Raw genomic sequence first — 20806 nt, forward strand, 5'->3', positions numbered from 1 at the left:
TCCCAGCTCTGCAACCCAAACGGCCAAACGGTCTGGGGGACAGTGGAGGAGTGGGGATGAAGGAGTGGTCCATGGCCTCTGAAGCACCATGGTTATATCACAAAAGTGGGGTGAGATCTGACAGCTTTCTCTGGGTCCATGGGTCTGTCTCTAAGCTGATGTGTTCCTCATTCTTCTCCCCTACAGAAATAAAAAAAAGTTACATGTCAGGTTGGACCCAAATCATTGCTATTTTTAATCTGTACCTATGGATGGGTACAAGATTTAATCTGTTACAGGAAGAAACAGGAACTGAGTTTGGTTGGTGAAAAGGCCTCCTTGGTGTCAGATCTGGGGTTCCTGCTGGAATCTGAACTCAGGTATTTAAAAGCAGGACCAGAGGATGGACTCCATGATTCTTTCCTATTCTCCTCCCAGACACCTTATCTGGAATATCCAATTAATAACCACATGTTTTTGTTCATTCCTTTAAAGTCTCTCTGACATCGATCCTAACCTTTGCTCTCCGTGTATCTGTGGGTGCACAGTAATCCTGTGGGCTGAGAGTAAAACTAGATGCCTTGATGGGTCATGGAATGGCATCAAAGAGGGTTCACCTACTCTGTGCCATAGAAGGCAGGATTGGAAATAAATCATTTGCATTGCTCCACATTGCCTGACACACAGAAGTTTTCAACACGTATTTACTGAATGAATGAGATGTGGGAGATAGGAGTTTGTTGGAAGTCCCTTGCTTTTTGCTACCCACAATTAACTTGATTTCAACTTAACAAATATCACCAAAACATTAGCTTGAATATGGCTTGTTGATATAAAAATTAAACAGTCTAAGTAGAAAATTACTTGTATTGGTGCATGCATGCACACACGTGTGCACACACACACGTGGTACACAGAGTACACCACTGCCATCTGGGATGACGGCAGAAAATGTCAAGCTTAAGTTCGGCAGTGTTAGGGTTGGGACAGGAAGGAGGAATAAGTCTTCTGAAACACTAAGAACTGTGTGCCTAGTAGGGCCCCTGCATGCAGAGAGGATGAGTGATTGGCTATGCAGACAGACAGGAGAGCAAGGGCTCCCCATGTGCATGGGGAGTTTGACCAATGAGACCAACTGTCCATGTTCCTATATCAGGATACAACTAAATCCATGGGAACGTGAATTTCAGCCAACTATTCAAGATGGAGCATCTTGGAATTCCAAGAAGAGCTCACTCTCTGCTGGTCATCTGGCTCTGAGCCCCTAAAGCTACTTGGAGCAGTCCAGATCCACTTTGCTTTAGGGTTGGTTGCTTCTATCTTTGTAACTCTAAAGGAGCTAGAAAGATTCTGTGTCTTTTCCTCTCTCCCTTTCCAGGTAAATAGAGGCGGGGAGAACAAGGAAAACACAGCATCATTTTTTTAACCTTTAATTTTAAACTAATTTTAGACTTACAGAAAAAATTACAAAAATAGTAGAGTTTTCCTGTACTCTTGTAGTTTTTTTTTTAAAATCAACAACTTTCATAGTTGTAGAACAATTATCACAACTAAGAAATTAACATTGGTATAATACTGTTAACTAAACTATAGACTTTGAATGTTGTTTTTTTTACTAATGTTCTTTCTTTTTTTATTCCCCAACTTTTATTTTAGAATCAGTGGTACATGTGCAGGTTTGTTACAAAGGTATATTGTGTGATGCTCAAGTTTGGAGTACAAATGAATTTTTTATCCAGGTACTGATCATAGAACCTGATAAAGCAGTTTTTCAATCCTTGCCCCCCTCCTTCCTTCCCCCTTTTTGTATCCCTCAGTGTCTATTGTTCCTGTCTTATGTCCATGTGTACCCAATATTTAACTCCCACTTGTAAGTGAGAACATGCAGTATTTGGTTTTCTGTTTCTGTGCTAGTTCGCTTAGCATGATGACCTCTAGCTGCATCCATGTTGGTGCAAAAGACATAATTTCATTCTTTTTTTATAGCTGTGTAGTATTCCATGGTATATATGTCCCACATTTTCTTTATCCAACCCACTGTTGGATAAAGGCACCTGGGTCAATTCCATGTCTTAGCTATTGTGAATAGTGCTATGATGAAGATACGGGTGCAAGTGACATTTTAGTAGGACTATTTATTTTCCTTTGGGTACATACCCAGTGATGGCATTGCTGGGTCAAATGGTAGTCCTGCTCTTAGTTCTTTGAGAAATCTGCAAACTGCTTTTCATAGTGGCTGAACTAATTTACATTCCCACTAACAGTATTAATATTCTTTCTCGGTTCCAGCACCCTATCCAGGGTCCCATATTATATTTAGTTGTTATTTCTCCATCTCCTGCAGTCTCTAACAATTCCTTAGTCTTTTCTTGTCTTTTATGACCATGACACTTTTAAAGACTATTGCACTGAGAATACAACTTCACAGCTGTGGTATTTTTCCCCAAAAATGCATAACTTCAGTTCAGTCATGAGAAAACATCAGACAAACCCAAATAGAGGGACATTCAACAAAACGGCTGATCAACCAACATTTTTTGAAGAAAACTCGAGCCTCTGCTTTTGTATTCTATTGTTCCTAAAATAGCTTGGGGAAAACTGCCTGCTGAGGTAGAAAATTAGGGTTTTAAAATGCAACCTCATGAGGGAGAAATGGTGCTTCTCTCTGGCCATGGAGACAGTCTTGAGCAAGCAGTTGAAGATGTGAATTCTGATCTCAGCTCCCTCATGTCACACAGAGGGCTCCCCAATGCCTTCCTGTAAAATGGAATGACCCTTTCTTATGTCTCCCAAAGGATGGTCTAAGGACCTGGTGATGCTGTGTGGAGGGGCTTAGTGATTCTCAAGGGGTGATGCTCATGGAGGGTCTTATCTCTCAACTCCACCAGCGATCCAACAAGATGAGAAGCTGGGAGACCCAGGCAAGCCAGAGCCTTGTTGGTCAATCAACTCCCCATCACTCTTAATTAGCTGTCATCTTCATGAGAAACCAGGAAGGAGAGGAGAGAGAAAAAATGTTCCAGATTTCTACCCCAGCCTTTTCTAAAAGCCTAAAAGAAAAGATCTTGTAGAATTTCATTCAACAAGTATTTTTGACCACCCACTGTGTACCAGGCACATTCAAGGGTTGGGCACCTGTGAGTGAAGGAATAGACTAAAATATCTGGCCCTTGGAGGTAATATGTTAGTGAAGGAGGCAGACAGTAAACAAAATAAGTACATAAATTAAGTAAATATTTGAAGGTGATGAAATTCCATCTTTGAACTGATGAAATTCCATCTTTGAACTGGTAAAAGTTGAAATGCTTTCTGATAAAATCCCTGCTGGGAGGCAGATGGTCTCTGCTGATGAATGGGGATGGTTACAAAATAACACATAGCATACATTAGGGGTGGGAGTATGGGTGTTGCCAAATGTCTCACCCACTTGAGCTTTCTCATTTTAAGTTTCAAATCAAACTCCTACTCTTTGTAATTAGACAATGCATATAGCAGTTCAAATGTCATTCCTTTGACCTGGGAAAATGCCTCTTAATCATTCCTTCTGGCCCCTAGCATCTCAGGGGAGAATGTGAAAGAGTAAAAACACATGGGAGTAATTCACCTTAGGAAGACTAATTGTGGGATAGTAACCACGAGGTGGATTGCACACATCATTTGGAGGATATTTGAATAAGTATGAAGAAAAGAGGGAAAAGATACACACCAGACTGTTAATCTGTTAATATCGGAACCTCAGTCGTGAGAGTGCAGCGGTGGGGCATTGGGAGTGGAGTGGGCAGTTGGTGGGAATTCTTTGTCTACTTGTCTGCTATTGGCTTGTAGGAAGTAATGAGTATTGCTTTTCTAGTTGGAAAAAGAAAATCTAAGGAAGCATTTAAAGAAACAATAGGGGCGAATGAAAGATGAGGAAGATCTTCTAGGATTTCTAAATCCCTCAAATTTATATGTAGCTTTTCTTTAGATGTATGGGTTTATTTCTGGATTCTCAATTCTATTCCACTGGCAAGTATGTCTTTCCTTATACAAGTTCCATACTATTTTGATGAGTGTACTTTTGTAGCAAGTTTTGAAATTGGAAAATGTGAGTATACCAACTTTGCTCTTGTTTTTCAATATCGTTTTGGCTATTCAAGGACCCTGGAAAATTTCATATGAGTTTGAGGATTGGCTTTTTCTTCTCTTTGAGATGGAGTCTCACTCTGTCGCCCAGGCTGCTGGAGTGTGGTGTTATGATCTCAGCTCACTGCAACCTCTGCCTCCCAGTTTCAAGCAATTCTCATGCCTCAGCCTCCCGAGTAGCTGGGACTACAGGCGTGCCACCATGGCCAGCTATTTTTTTTTTTTTTTTTTTTTTTTGTATTTTTAGTAGAGACAGGGTTTCACCATGTTGCCCAGGCTGTTCTCAAATTCCTGAACTCAGGCAATCCGCTTGCCTTGGCCTCCCAAAGTGTCAGGATTACAGGCGTGAGCCACCATACCCAGCTGACATTTTCATTTCTGTAAAAAAGGCTGTTAGAATTTGGATAAGGATTGCATTTGTAGATCATTTTGGGTAGGTTATTCATCCATCCAGGCAAACACTATTCATTTTCTGTCTTTATGTGTCATCCTGTGCTAAAGGTCATGGGAGCAAGGGTCTGTAAGGATGATTGAGATTTGATTTCTATTTCCAGGTAACTTTGTTTTTTAACAAACTTCTTTTTTTTTTTTTAAGTGGCTTTTCTGGTGTATTCTTTCTTTTTAATTGAGATGAAATTCACACGACATAAAATTAACCATTTAAAGTGAACAATTCACTGGCATTTAGTACATTCACAATGTTGTGTAAACACCGCCTACCTCTACCTACGTCTAAAACAGTTGCCTCATACCCTATGAAAGTAAAGTAAAGAAAGTAGTTACTCCCTATTCCTCCCTCCCCTAGCCCTTGGCAACCACCAATGTGCTTTCTGTTTCTATGGATTTACCTATTCTAGATATTTCGTATAAATGGAATCATACAATAAGCTACTGTGCCTGGCTGGCATTTTCATTTCTGTAAAAAAGCTGCTAGAATTTCGATAAGGATTGCATTTGTAGATCACTTCGAGTAGTATTGCCATCTTAACAATAGTAAGTTTTCCAGCTCATGAACATGAGGTATCTTAACACTTATTTAGGTCTTTCAACAATGTTTTGTGGTTTTCAGCATACAAGTTATTCGTCCTGGTTAGATTTATTTGTAGGTATTTTATTCTTTTCATGCTATTGTAAATGAAATTGTTTTTCTTAATTCACTTTTCAGATTGTTTATTGCTGGTGTATCAAAGCACAACTGATTTTTGTATCTTATACTTCGAAATTGTTGAATTGGTTTATTAGCTCTACTAGTTTATTTTGTGGATTCTCTGAGATTTCTTATATGTAAGATAATGTCACCTGTGAATAGAACTAGGTTTACTTCTTCTTTTCCAATTTGGATACTTTTTTTAAAGATTCAAATTTATCTATTTATTTTAATTGACAAATAAAAATTATATGTATTTATCGTGTACAACATGACATGTAAAAATATGTATGCAAGGTGGAATGGCTCAATTGAGCTAATTAGTGTATGCAGTACTACACAAACTTATTTTTTTGTGGTAAGAACACCTAAAATTTACTCTCTTGGGAAGTTTCAAGGGTACATTGTTATTCATTATGGTCACCATGTTGTACAATAAATCTCTTGAACTTATTTCTCCCATCTAACTGACATTTTGTATGTTTTGACCAACATCTCCTCAATCCCTACCCCACAGCACCTGGTAGCTACCATTCTACTCTTTGCTTCTATGAGTTTAACTTTTTTATATTCTACGTGTAAGTGAGATTATGCCGTATTTGTCTTTCTGTGCCTGGCTTATTTCACTTAACATAATATCCTCCAGATTCATTCATGTCATCACAAATGACAGGATTTTTTTCTTTTTAAAGGCTGAATAGTATTCCATCATGTATATATATACCACATTTTATGTATCCCTTGATGAACATGTAGGTTAATTCCATATCTTGGCTGTTGTGAATAATGCTGCAGTGAACATAGGAGTACAGATACCTCTTCAACATACTGATTTTATTTCCTTTGGCTATATACCTGGCGGTGGAGTGGTTGGATTCTAGAGTAATTCTATTTTTAATTTTTTGAGGAATCTCCATACTATTTTCCATAATATCTGTACTAATGTACATTCTTACCAGCAGTATACAGAGGTTTTCTTTTCTCCGCATCCTTGCCAGCACTTGTTATCTTTTATCTTTTTGATATAATCATTCTAACAGGTATGAGGTGATATCTCATTGTGGTTTTAATTTGTATTTTGCTGATGCTATGGTCTGAATGTTCATGTGTGCCTCAACATTTATATGTTAGAATCTAAAACCGACTGTGATAGTATTAAGAAGTGGGTTTTTTGGGAAATGAGTAAGTCATGAGGGCTTCACCCTCATGAATGGGATTAATGACCTCATAAAAGAGAATCAAAGGACCGCCCTTATCCCTTTCTTCATGTGAGCACACAGCCATTTTTGAAGCACAGAACAAGTCTTCATCAGACACAGAATTTGCTGGCACCTGGATTTTGGACTTTCCAGTCTTATGAACTGTGAGCCATACATTTCTGTTGTTTATAAATTATTCAGTCTAAGGTATTCTGTTACAGCAGTAGGAACAGACTGAGACATCTAATGATTACTGAAGTTGAACATTTTTTCATATACCTGTTGACCATTCATATGTCTTATTTTGAGAAATGTCTATTTAGGTCCTTTGGCTCACTTTAAAATCAGTCACTGGTTCTCTTACTATAGAGTTGTTTGAGTTTTTTATATGTTTGGGATATCAATTCCTTATCAGGTGTATGGTTTGCAAATACATTCTTCCAATTCGTGGGTTGTCTCATCACTCTGTTTATTATTTCCTTAGCTGTGCAGAAACTTTTTAGTTTGATGTAGTCTTGTCTATTTTTGCTTTTGTTGCCTGTGCTTTTAGGGTCATGTGTAAAATATAATTGCCCATGCTGATGTCATGAAATTCTACCTCTATGTTTTCATCTAGTAGTCTTACAGTTTCAAGTCTTATGATTAAGTCTTAATCCATTTTGAGTTAGTTTTTATATATGGTATAAGATAGGATCTAATTTCATTCTTCTGCATGTGGCTATGCTCTTGTGACAACACCACTTATTGAAAGGCCCGTCGTTTCCCCACTGTGTGTTCTTGGCAACTTTGTCAAAAATTAATTGACCATACATATGTGGATTTATTTCTGGATTATCTAATTCTGCTTCAATTATCTATTTGTCGGTTTTTACACTAGTACTATGCTGTTTTGACTACTATAGCTTTGTAGTATATTTTGAAATCAGGTAGTGTGATGCCTCCAGCTTTGTTTATTGTGCTCAACATTGCTTTGGTTATTCAGGCTGTTTTGTGGTTCCATATACATTTTAGGACTTTTTTTTTCTATTCCTGTGAAGAATGTCATTGGTATTTTGATATGAACTGCACTGAATCTGTAGATTGCTTTGGGTATTACAGTATGAACATTTTAACAATATTAATTCTTCCAATCCATGAACATAGGATATCTTTCCATTTATTTGTGTTTTCTTCAATTTCTTTCATCAATGTTTTATAGTTTTCAGTGAGTAATTCACTTCTTTGGTTAAATTTTTTCTTAGGTATTATATGTTATTTTGTAACTATTATAAAGGGGATTGCCCTCTTGATTTATTTCTTGGAAAGTTCATTGTTAGTGTATAGAAATGCTATTGATGGTTATGCTTTATTTCTTTTATAATTGCTTTGTATAGAACTTCCAGTACAATATCGAATAACAGTAGTAAAAGTAGGAGTCTTTGTATTGTTCTTGATCTTAGGAGTAAAGATTTCAGTTTTTCGTAATGGAGTATGATGTTAGCTGTGGTTTTCTCATAAATGCCCTTTATTATGTGAGGAAGTTCTTTCTATTCCTACTTTTCTGTGAGTATTTTCTTAAAAATCAAAAAATGTTAGATTTTGTCAACTACTTTTTCTGCATCAGTTAGGATGACTAAGTGGTTCAGTTTTTTTGTTGTTGTTCTATTAATGTGTATTACATTGATTGATTTTCTTATGTTGAATCACCTTTGCATTCCTGGGATAAATCCCATTTGGTCATGGAATTTTTATAATTATTTAAATATGCTATTTGATTCAGTTTGATAGTATCTTAAAGATTTTTGCATCTATGTTCATAAGAGTTATTAGCCTATAGTTTTCTTGTGGTGTCTTTCTGACTTTGGTATAAGGGTAATGCTATCCTCATAGAATGAGTTAGAAAGTGGTCTCTCCTCTTGTATTTTCTATAGATGTTTGAGAAAGATTGCTGTTAATTCTTTTTTAAATGTTTGATTGAATTGACAAGCAAAGCCCATCTGGTCCTGAATTTTTCTTCTTGGGAGTTTTGTTTTATTTATTCCTTTAAAATTACTGATTCAATTTTTACAATTTTTACTTTTTATAGGTCTGATTAGATTCTATTTCTTCTGGAGTCAGTTTTGTCAATTTGTGTGTTTCTAAGAATTTGTACTTTATGTTAAGTTTATCTAATTTTTTGGTATCAAATTGTTCATAGTATTTTTTTTTATTTCCATGAGGTCTGTGGTAATGTCTTTACTTTCTATTTTCAGTTATTTGGGTCTTCTCTTCTTTCTTTTTAGTTGGTCTAGCTGAAAGATTGTCAATTTTGTTGATGTTTTCAAAAACCAATTTTTGGTTTTGCTGATTCTCTCTAATTTTTCTATTCTCTATGTTATTTATCTTAACTTTAATCTTTATTTACTTCTTTCTGGTTTGGGGTTTAGTATTGCCTTCTTTTTCTAGTTACTTAAGATGTAAATTTAGGTTATTGATTTGAGATGTTTCTTTTTTAATGTAAACACTTACAGCTATAAATTTCCTGTTGAGCACTGCTTAACTATATCCTGTAAGTTTGGGTAAGTTGTCTTTCCATTTTAATTTAACTCTAAGTGTTTTCTAATTTCTCTTGTTATTTCTTCTTTGGCCTATTGGTTAAGAGTATGTTGTTTTCCACGTATTTGTGAATTTTCCAGGTTTCTTTCTGTTATTCTAGCATCATTTCATTGTGGTTAGAAACAATATTTTGTATGATTTCAATCCTTATAAATTTATTGAGACTTGTTTTGTGGCGTAACATGTGGTCTATACTTGAGAATTTTCTATGTGCACTTGAGAAGATGATACATTTTGCTGTTGTTGAGGGAAGTGTTCTATCTGTGTCTATTCAGTCGAGCTCTTTGTAGTTTTGTTTAAGCCCCCTATTTTCTTATTGATTTTATGTCTAGCTGTTCCATTCACTACTGAAAATGGTATATTGATGTCTCCTACTATTATTGTAGGATTGTCTATTTTTTCTTCTCATTCTGTCAATGCTTGGTCATGTATTTTGGAGCTCTGTTGTTTGGTGTGTATATGTTTATAATTGCTACATATTCTTGACGCATTGACTCCTTTGTCAATATATAATGTCCTTCTTTGTCTCTTGTAATAGTTTTTGACTTAAAGTCTATTTTGTTAGATATTAGTATAACCTCCTTAACTTTCTTTTGGTTACTATTTGCTTAAAATATTATTTTTCCATCCTTTCACTTTCAAGCTATTTGTGTCTTTGAATCTAAAGTGAGTCACTTGTAGACAGCATATAGTTGGATTTTTTAAAAAAATCTATTTGGTCAATCTCTGCCTTTTGATTATAGAATTTAATCCATTTATATTTAAAGTAATTAATTACAAGGGAGGACCTACTTCTGCCAATTTGCTATTTTTCTGTATGTCTTATGTCTTTGTGGTTCCTCATTTTCTTTATTACTGTCTTCTTTTGTGTTTAATTGATTCTTTACACTGTAACATTTTGATCCCCTTCACATTTCCTTTTGTGTATTTTTAAAAAGATATTTTCTTAGTGATTATCAGAGAATTATGATTAACATTATACACTTATAAAAATATAGTAACAGTATAGTTAAAATTGATATCAACTTAGCTTCAATAGAATACAAAATCTCTGCTTCTAAGCATCTCTGTCCCCACCTTATGTTGTTGTTGTCACTAAATACATTTTTTATTCATTACATTCATTTGGAGTGTTCAATAATGTAGATTTATAATTATTGTTTTATGCATTTGTCTTTTAAATTATGTGGGAAATAAAAAGAGGAGTTATAAACCAAAATCCAGTATATTGGCTTTTATATTTACTTTCTAGTTAACTTTTCTGGAGTTCCTTACCTTTTCATATTGCTTTGAGTTACTGTCTAGTGCGCTTTCATTTAAGCCTCAAGATCTACCTTCATCATTTCTTAAAGGGCAACTCTGCTAGCAACAAACCCTCTCAGATTTTGGTTTTCAGAGAATGCCTTAATTTTTCTTTTCTGGATATAGAATTCTTGGTTGATAGGGGATTTTTTTTTTCCTTTCAGCATTAAAAAAAAGTTATTTCTTTCCCTTCTGATCTCCCTAGCTTCTAATAAGAAATTAGCTGTTAATTCTACTGAGGATATATTGTACATGATGAGTCACTTTTCTCTTTCTGCTTTTAAGATTCTCTCTTTGTCTTTGGCAATTTGATTATAGTGTATCTTAGTGGGAATCTCTTTGCATTTATCCTTCTTTGATTCACTGTGCTTCTTAAACATGTAGATTTTTGTCTTTTTACCGATTTTGGAATGTTTTGGGATGTTATTTCCTTAAATATACTTTCAGCTGCCTTTTTTTCTCTTTTCTCCTGGAATTTCTATTTTGTGTATATTGTTGCACTTGAATGTTTCTCTTAGGCTCTGTTAATTTTTTTTCCAATTTTTTCTTGCTTTTTAAACTAGATAATTTCAAATGATCTGTCTTCAAGCTTGCTAATTCTTCCTTTTGCTTGCTGAAACCTGCTATTGAAAACTTCTAGTATGTTTTTTGTTTTAATTATTGCACTTTTCAGCTCCAGAATTTCTTTTTGGTTCCTTTTTATAATTTCTGTCTCTATTGATTTCTCTTTCATGTATTGTTCTCCTAGTTTCCTTTAGCTCTTTGTCTGTTAATTCCTTTAGCTCTTTGAGCATATTTAACACAGTTGCTTTAAAGTCTTTGTCTAATACGTTCAATGTCTTTGCCTCAGGGAAAGTTGCTGCTCATTTCTTCTGTAAGTGGGCCATACTTGTTTCCTTAAATGTCTCATAATTTTTAGTTAAAACTGGACAATTTGAATACTGTAATCTGGTAATTATGGAAATCACAATCTAGTTCTCCTTAGAATTTGTTTTTATTGCTTGTTGTAGGCTTTATCTATTTGTTCAGTGATTTTTCTAAACTATTTTTGTAAAGTTTGTATTCTTTGTCATGCATGGTCTCTGAAGTCTTTGTTCCTTGCTTGCATTGAGCTAGTGTTTTGATGAAGATTTCCTTGAATGCCAGGAGCCAAAAGGCATGAAGGGAGGGGCAAGAGAGAAGGAGAGAAAGGGCATGAGGGAGAGACAGGGAGCGGGAGAGAAGAGAAAAGCAAAGAAATAAAAAATAAAAAATATCTCTCCTATTCTTGGCAGATTGTTTCTGTACTAGGACATTCCTTCAATGCTTAGTCAGGCCATTTAAAATTTTACATTAGCCTTAAGTACTTGCCTGCACTGATCTTAAGAGATTGGCCAGAAGTACAAACTTAGGGTCTTCTCAGGCTTTTTCTGAGCATGAGTTTTACTCTGGGAACGTGTGTGGTTTTCTTAAATACCCAATACGCATGGAGCTTTTGAATGTCCTAATTTCCCAGAGAAATGCTCTCCCCAGCTTTTCTTTCCAGGCTTTAGGCACTCTGTTGTATGCATCAACTGAAATATTTTGCCCCAGGTGGCTGCAGGTTCTTCATCTGTCTTACAATATTTCCAATAAATGATCACTGTCTTTTCCACCCTGAGTGAGTTCCAAATTAGGCTAAACAAAGACAAGCACCTTGCTTCAGTCCTTCATGTAGCTCCGAGACAGGATAGAAGAGACAAACACAGTTCTTTGTGAGTAAGGTCTGCTCTCCTCCCTCAGAACCAGGGACTAGGGCCCCATACCGGGAACACAGAACTAATGTCTTCAAGATCGCTGCCAAGCTGGGGAGAGGGTGGAGCAAGCACAAGTAAAAAGTCACGAAGCTGGCTGGGTGCGGTGGCTCATGCCTGTAATCCTAGCACTTTGGGAGGCTGAGGCAGGCACATCACCTGAGGTCAGGAGTTTGAGACCAGTATGGCCAACATGGCAAAACCCTGTCTCTACTAAAAATACAAAAATTAGCCAGGTGTGGTGGTATGTGCCTGTATTCCCACTACTCGGGAGGCTGAGGCAAGAGAATCGCTTGAACCCTTCAGCCTGGGCAACAGAGTGAGGCTCCGTCTCAAAAAAAAAAAATCACAAAGGCTTTCTGCAACTTTAAAATTGCCTTTCTCTTTATTCCACATTTACCTGATTGCTATAAAGTTTGGAGTGTTTTTCAACATTCTAACAAAATAACTCTGATGGTTTTTCCTTGATTTTTTTTATATTTCTGTAGAGGGATGAGCTCTTAGAGATACCTACTCCATCAGTTTTGCTTTTTAATAAATGTTTAAATTGAAGTATAACATGCATTCATAAAGGTATATAATTCATAAGTGTGTAGCTGTATGAATTTCTGCATTTCATAACGCATACACACCTTTGTGACCACTCTCTAAATATTTTTATTTTTTAAAACATTTGTATCTCATCTCATTTCAAAAATTACTTGTTGTGACTTATAAAAATGCATATTATGCCAATAAGAGAAAAAATATTTTAAGTGAGGAAAGTAGGGGTAGGAGGAGAGAAGTAATAAAAGTAAAAAGAAAAACCAGTTTTCTATTTTTGTTACATGGCAATTGCATGGCAGAATGTCTTGCACACTTTGCTAAAAGTGGGATAGAAATTTATCCCTAACTTTCCTAGCTGCTAACGCAAAAAGGAAAATCTCATCAGTTTTAGGTTTTTGTAATTCTGAAGATAAAAAAGAAACTAATTGCTCAATAGACATGCAGCTATATCAGGTACTGAGGCTGGAAAGAATTTCTCCTGTTCTTACTATAAAGAAGGCCTTATTGACGTTAGTGGGAGATGTGACTTTTAACTTCTCCTGTAGCAGATAAATCCCACAGCAGAGTCCAGGTCTTCCTATCTGCGTATATCATGGGATGCCACTGCCACAGTGATCCAAATGAAGAGTAGTGACAGCAAGTCTAAGAGTGGCTGAAGCACTGCTACTTGAGTGGGTCAGGGAGAGGGCTATGAAAATAAGGGTGGATAAATTAACTGCCCTAAACCTCAGTTTTTCTACCTGTAAAATAAGAATAAAAGCAATTACCCTAGGATGCTACCAATAAAGGAGAGATTGTGTATGTGTCTCGTGTGTAATAAGTGCTTGCTAAATCTAGTGATTATTATAATTCCAAGGTTTGTGTAGAGACTATTGATGGCCTTTAGTTCCTTAGTTGAGTAACCCTGTTTCTTTTTGCCTGTTCTATTTCTAACCCTGGGTCATACCACCAAGGCTTTCAAATGGTTAAAATGTACTCACCGCATTTTTATCCTGTGGCCCAAGGTGGAGTTGGTGGGGTGGTGTGAAACTTAGGATCTTCCTAGTTCTGGAGAACCCAGGCTTGTGATGGATCGCTCCCAGGACTCACAGGGGGCAATATGCACGCTTGATAGGGAAGAGGAGAAGGTGACTATGTCTGTCCTACTCCACCCTGCTACCCTAACACCAGGCCCAGCTGCTTGAGGTCTGCATCCCATCTAGTATACAAATCAGGCTTAAAACAAAACAGAATGACAATGTATGTACTGAGTGCTGTTACACTAAGAAAGCAGGTCTTTATTCAGCAGCAAAGCCCATGGTTGCTTTCAGGTTTTGATAAATGCACATGGCATTACTTTTCCTTGGATGCTGACCACTGTCCAGATGGTCATGACTTCTGTGGCCCTGATGTGGTATGGCCTGAAGGACAGCAAGGTGCCTTCCGACCTCTGGTAGGATGAGCATCCATCTACAATTACAGTGAAACTCTTGCTGGTGTCTCAGGAAGAAGCACCTCTTTATAGCCAGTCATGAGTCCTTAATATATTACCCTTAAATCATTTAAAACTGGACTAGCCTGAGCAGCAGTGAATATGCCAATGCAGCTGGGAGCAATCTCAGGCAGGCCTAGTGAAATGGCCAAGATGATCTAATAGATCTTGCTTCATCTCTAGAAGTCTATCACCCTGCCTCTCTCCTCCTTATTAAACCAAAGCACCCCACTCCCAGGAAATAAAAGTGTTACCTGATATTTATATATCTTCAGAGAGTAGTGTGATTCAGAAACCAGGGAGAATGGTTTAAAACTATTTATTGAAAAGGAGACTGTTTCTTGCATGGAATAATCTTATTGGGAAAGTTACCTTATTTCTTCTACTGCACTTGAAAAATCTAGATCATTTGTAAAAAGCAAAGGGCAAAGCAGAAATTGATTTTTGTCAGCATGAGGTCAGTTTTTTTGTACTTTGATTAGTGGCTTGAAGCTGGTGGTGAGTCATGTGACAGTGCTGGTGTTTTGGGGCAGGGTATTCAGACTGAGATCATAATAGCTATTTCTGACCTTGACTTTGAGCAGAACATTGCAGGAAGTCTTATGTCACCCTGAAGTCTACAGCTATTTGCAACCTTCTGATATCTCTGATTGACTGCTTGTATTAAGCAGTCCCCCTCTCCTCCCTCACTGTGCCATCCCTAGACTCTAATGTTCTGAATGTATTAACAATATCTACATGGTGAAGCCCATGCTCCCTGCTCTAGCATTGGAGGCCTTCTAAGGACTGACCCAATCCAACTTTGCCTCCAGCCAATCTGTCTCCTGCTTCCACGGTATGAACACTCTGCTGCTATCAGTAGCTCTAGCTTCTGAGCACACACACACCTGGGCACATCCCAGGGACTCAATAATTTCTGCTCCTCTATGCACTGTCCACTCTGGTAGGAGGTCTACACCTTTCTCACATGTGCCCTCAGAAGTCACACCTGCCGTTGTGCCTACCAGTCGGCCTTCTTGGTTCTCTGTGTACTCACTGTCCTCTGAATGTGAGCCATTTACCATACCTGCCATCTAGTCGGCATGGGCCTTGTGCCTTGAAACAGCCCATATTTTTGGTGTGTGCATTGACCTTTCAGCAATGCAATGCTACGCTACCTACTGGAGAGAGAGAAGAGGGAGAGGGAAGGGGAAAGGGGGAGAGAGAGATTTTTGCCTATCTCCCCAAAATTTGTAAGTTGAAACCCTAACCTCAGTATCTTAGAATGTGACTCTATTTGGAGGCAGGGCCTTTAAAGAGGCAATTCAGTTAAAATGAGGTCCTTAGGGTGAGCTCTAATCCACACTGACAGGTGCCCTTATAAGAAGAGGATATTTGGACACACAAAGAGATACCAAGGATGCTTGTGGACAGACAAATGACCAGGTGAGCACACAGTGAGAGGGCAGCCGTCTGCAAGCCAAGGAGAGAGGCCTTAGGAGAAACAAACCCTGCTGACACCTTTGTCTTAGGCTTCCAGAATGGTGAGAGAAGAGATTTCTGTTGTGTAAGCCACCCAGTCCTGGCATTTTGTGATGACAGCCCAAGCCGATTAATGCACTCACAGAGAATGTACCCTGCAGTGAATGTGAAATCAAAGGTGTGAATCTGCTGTTCCTTGCTCAGGCTTGGTTCCCACAGCCTTCCAGGCGGGGGATCATCTCTCCAAGCTGGGTGAGAACCAAGTGTTGAACCATTAGCTAGCTAGCTCATCTAATCTATATCTTACAACCTCGACCCCAAACACAGCTACCTTAATCGGGGGCTCCGTCAAAGAATCGGTGATCAATTCCAATGCTGGCTGGGCTGGGCCTACTGGAGATGTCACTTTACTGACTTTTAATGGCTAAGGAATTTTTGAGGATAATGTTAATTACGTGTGATTTTCATCTTCAGTGATTACCTAAAAGGCCAGCTCCCAACTCCACTTAATGGTTACATAAATGGAACCCCTGTCCTGGCTGGCCCACATCATTGTGGCCTCTTCCCATCCACTCTCCAAGCAGCAGAGTCATCTTTTCTAAAAACAGTTCTGATTAGGTTACCTCCAATCCCCACTTCTGCACCTTTCCACCAATAAAAACCTAACATTATTCCCTTAGGAGAGAATCCCCAACTACTTTTACAAGACTTGTGAGGGCCTTCGGGGTCCAGGGTCTCACCAGCTTTCCTTGCCTCACTGGCGGCCCCTGCATAGTGCCCCAAGCTCCGGTGTAGATGGTTCCCCCTGCCTGGAACACTGTCTCAACCCCTCTCACCACATTCTCTCCATTTCATCCTTTAGACCTTTGTTCAAATGTCCTTTGCCTGGGGTTCTGCTGAGAGCCTGGCCAGGCCCCATGTCCGTGTCATGGGCACCTCTCACTGGGCCCCAGCTCTGTGTCATGGACACTTCTTACCTGGCTCCATCTGCCTGTCATGGGTGCTTCTAACCGGGTACATCTCCCTTTTCGCATTTGCCTCAGAAGCAGTTTCACAGTTGTCTGTGAGATGAGTGGATTCCTTTGTGTTTCCATAAATTCTAAATTTGATGTGGTAGAGACCGTGTCTGTTTTGTGCCTGGCACACAGCAGATATTCGGTAGGTGCTTTATTGAGCAAATAAACAAACACCCATCTTTTCCATCTCCACGTTAGTTCTTCCAAAGTAGAGACCACCTCCTGTTCATCTTTGTCTTCCTGTCTTAGAGATTTCTTCACTAAATCCCATTCTTTGATAGAAGAAGGAAGTGGAAGAATTACCAGGACTTACACATAGGAGGCTTTCACTCACTGAACCGTTTAATCACAAGGGCGGTGCCAAGACTTCTGCTCCCCACTCTGGGGCCTCAGGGCCACTCAGCCATGTGCAGACAGTGCTTCAGCAACGCCTGTTTTCTTCACTCTTTAGGGAGTTTATGATTGTTTAAGATTGAGTGCTTACAGTGAGTAAAAGCGATCTGGACAAAAAATCTTCCCATAAAAGAACAGAATGTATGCTGGATTTCTTTCTCTCTTGTTTTATGGGTTAGATTTCTTTTCTTTTTTTATTTTAAAACAGAGTCTCTGTCTCCCAGGCTGGAGTGCAGTGGCACCATCACAACTCACTGTGGCTTTGACCTCCTGGGCTCAAATGATCCTCCCACCTCAGTCTACTGAGTAGTCGGTGTGCACCACCATGCCTGACTAATTTTTGTATTTTTTGAAGAGACAGAGTCTTGACATGTTGCCCAGGCTGGTCTTGAACTCCTGGTTTCAAGCAATCTGCCCTCCTTGGCCTCCCAAAGTGCTGGGATTACAGGTGTGAGCCACCGCGCCCTGCCTGGGTTAGCTTTCTAATGGAGGGTTGCTTATTTGCGATTTGGGAGCTTTGCTACAAATGTTTATTGAGTGTCCTCTATGTGGCAGGCACTTATGAAGGACAGAGGGGGAAGTAGGTGAGGATAGGGAGTTGAGGGCGAGACAAAGGGAAGTGATGCTTTTTGAAAGTCCAGGCTATTGTGCAGTAGATCCCAGTGATGAGCTCTCAGAAAATCAGTGTCAGTGACTGTAACTTACTTTTCGCTATGGTCAAAAGTTTGTCTGAAGGCCTTGCCCTGTGTGGGACACTCAGGCTCAGAACACTTGCTTGGATCTGGCTGATGCAATCCCAAGAAACTCCAGTCAGCGTTCTCTCCCTTTGAGCCAGTGCCTTCACTTCCCCGAGCCTGTCTCCCTCATGTTTCCATCAGACACAAAGGACCGGTCTGTCGATACTCCTGTCTGTCAGTGACAAGCAATTGGTACCCGAGCCTGGGGTGGGACTTCTGATCTCAGCTTGGGGCTTGTTGATGAAGTGAGGACTGCTGTTCTCTCGGAGCACCACCAGGACGCCTCTCAGATCACTGTTTGAGCCCAGTAAAGGGACGAATCGTGCTCATGTTTATTCTGCAATTTCAAAGGCTGCCATCTAATGTTTAAGAGTGCAGAGACTTTAAATGAACAAACGGTTTGGTGGAAAATAAGAGATGCACATTGCCATGATTTGCTACCTGGTAGATGGACTTTATTTTATGTGGTTAAGGTGCAGAGCTTAGAAGGCTCTTCAAGTACAGGTAAGATTTGGAAAGTCACCACTAGGCTCTAAATTTGGGGAGCAGTGCCTTATGCTAATGATGTTTTTTGTAAAAAGATGGTCTCCTCTTCATCACCAGATTGTCCCTTAAATTAGCTAAAGCCCCGAGGCCTTAAATTAAAAGCAAGAAATTACAATGTAGCAGATTGAATTTAGGTTTATGTGCCGCGTGTGAAATATATGAGTGGCTTTTGAAAGCATAATTGTAAATGAACAGTGGGTTCCTTATGCACAGGCAGCATCCCCTGAATGTCTGGCTATTTGCATTGAAAGCCCACTTTCCACCCAGTTAGTGCCCCCACACCCACCCTCCCTTCCCCATCGCCATGACGCAAGCCAGACTGCACTGTCACGACCACACTGAAGCCTATGCTGACGCCATCATATCTGCTGGAACCTGCTCCCAAATTGCTCTCTCTGTTTAACCTGGTCAAGGCAGATCCAGCTTTTTGGGGTCCCCTCCCCTTCTTGGCCATTAACAAGCAAGATATCCAAGAAGGAGTGAACACCGAACTCTTTATCACTCCTGGGCTTGAGAATCTTCCTTTTTTTCTTTGCTTGGGCCTGAGGGTGCCTAGGAGGCAACATAAAATCTTGCTTTTGTTTCATTTATAATTGGTGAGTCTGTGCTCTCTGGGCAAAGGCCAGCGCATTCTTGGAAGGGGTTTTTAACGCTGGATGCACATTAGAATAAGCTAAGGAGATTTCAAAAATGCCGATGCCCGGGTCCTGAGCCATAGAGATTTCAATTTAATAGGTCTGGGATGGGGCCTGACTGTTGAGGTGTGTGTGTGTGTGTGTGTGTGTATGTGTGTGTGTGTGTGTTTATGTGTGTACAAGCTTTCCAGCCCATTGTAATGGTCGGCCAGAGTTAAGAACTACTTATTTGGAAGAAAAAGTTGTCCATTTTCACTGTTACTGTTAGGCAGATTTTCTTTAATCAGATTAAAACCATGTGATAGCAGACAATGCAAAATTAGCTGTGCAGAGAGAGGGATTTAAAGGATCCAGGCATTTATGACAAAATCAGCCATGATCCTTTTTTTACTGTACTCAAAATAAGACATGTAGAAAAAGCTGAGCCTTACAGGAGACAGATACAGTGTCCTTGGGCTTGGGTAGGGCTAGAAAGTAAGCAGCTTCAGGGCCAGGTGCAGTAGCTCACGCCTGTAATCCCAGAACTTTGGGAGGCCAAGGCAGGCAGATCACTTCAGGTCAGGAGTTCGAGGCCCGCCTGGCCAACATGGTGAAACCCCATCTCTATTAAAAATACAAAAATTAGCCAGGTGCGGTGGCAAGCGCCTGTAATCCCAGCTTCTTGGGAGGTTAAGGCAGGAGAATTGCTTGAACCCTGGAGCCGGAAGTTGCAGTGAGCTGAGATCATGCCACTGCACTCCAGACTGGGTGACAGAGACTCCAAAAATAAAAAAAGAAAAAGAGAAAAAGAAATAGAAAGCAAGCAAGCAGCTTCAGAGTGGGAGGCTGTAGACGTCGCCAACCTTTCCTTGAAATCAGGTTTATGCACTCATTTATTAACTCATTCATTCATACATTGCCTCTTTATTAAGTACCTCTTTGGTACAAACACTTCGGTAGGCTTGGGTGCAAAGGTGAATGTCTTCCAGATAGGAATTCTAAAAGAGTTGGAAACTCAGGAGATTAGGGTTAATTTTCGTAATCACAGATACTTGACTTTTCACCCGGCCTCCCATTCCTTTGTCAATGCCAGAAGCCAGTGTCTGCTCTCGAGCTTCCCGGCGCGGTGTGAGGGGGGAGGAGATGGCAGCACCCCCACTTTCTGCCTCACCACTTGCCGAGTCTTGCCGCTGACATTTTCTCTGGTACATTTTCGTATGACGCCGAGCAGCATATGGCACCTCTTTGTCAGACACATTATCTCAAGCACGTCCTCACTCCCATCCTGCCTGACTCATTTGGGGATTACAGAAAGTTCGTAGGAACAGACAGGGGTGCAGAGGCAGGAGAAACATTGTAGAATTTGTGAAGATTGAGTACTGGAATACACTTTTTTTTTTTTTAAAGCAACAGAAAAAGTACAGATCTCATGGTATAGCTTCACAATACCCTTCCTCGGATGGCTGGGAAGGAATCATTATACTCATTTTAACAATCAGGAATCTGAGACTTAGAGAAGTTGACTGTCAAGCATTTCTACCTGGATGCCTCTTCCTGGGGGTGGAGGATGTACATCTCTAAGATTGGCACCTGGAAAGACTTCTTATTCCAGTTTCAGGCTCCGCTCTGCAGAGACGCCAGAGCAGCCTACAGTCCCGTCTCCGCCGGCTAACCAGACATGACCACAAGGGGGCACCAAAGAGTTTTCATTACTTCCGCAGGTCTTGCTTTGCCTGCTTTTTCTGCGGTGTGGTGGCACATAGGTGCACAATGAAAAGAAAACAGTGTGAACTTAGAAGAACGGACGATGTTGGAAGACAAAGCTTAAGCCCCAGGTAGAAAACTGTGACTAGCAGTGGTGGCGATGACCCTAATTTTTCCATTGATCAGGGGGGTGGGGAAGTGTCGCAAGGTGGGGTAAACTTCA

At 39.6% G+C, this 20806-nt stretch overlaps 1 long non-coding RNA gene across 4 annotated transcripts in view; it reads left to right on the plus strand.

Moving 5' to 3' along the window:
- The first annotated feature begins 6533 nt into the window (after nt 1–6533).
- The window catches only part of LOC105378464 (uncharacterized), a 57847-nt gene continuing 43574 nt past the window's right edge, over nt 6534–20806 (plus strand). For all 4 annotated transcript variants that reach the window (XR_007062285.1, XR_946282.2, XR_946283.1 and 1 more), the window contains exon 1: nt 6534–6611. This is a non-coding gene — a long non-coding RNA (uncharacterized LOC105378464). The remainder of the gene's footprint in view (nt 6612–20806) is intronic.

The sequence above is a fragment of the Homo sapiens genome, chromosome 10 (genome assembly GCF_000001405.40).
Source record: "Homo sapiens chromosome 10, GRCh38.p14 Primary Assembly".
NCBI classification, from domain to species: domain Eukaryota; kingdom Metazoa; phylum Chordata; class Mammalia; order Primates; family Hominidae; genus Homo; species Homo sapiens.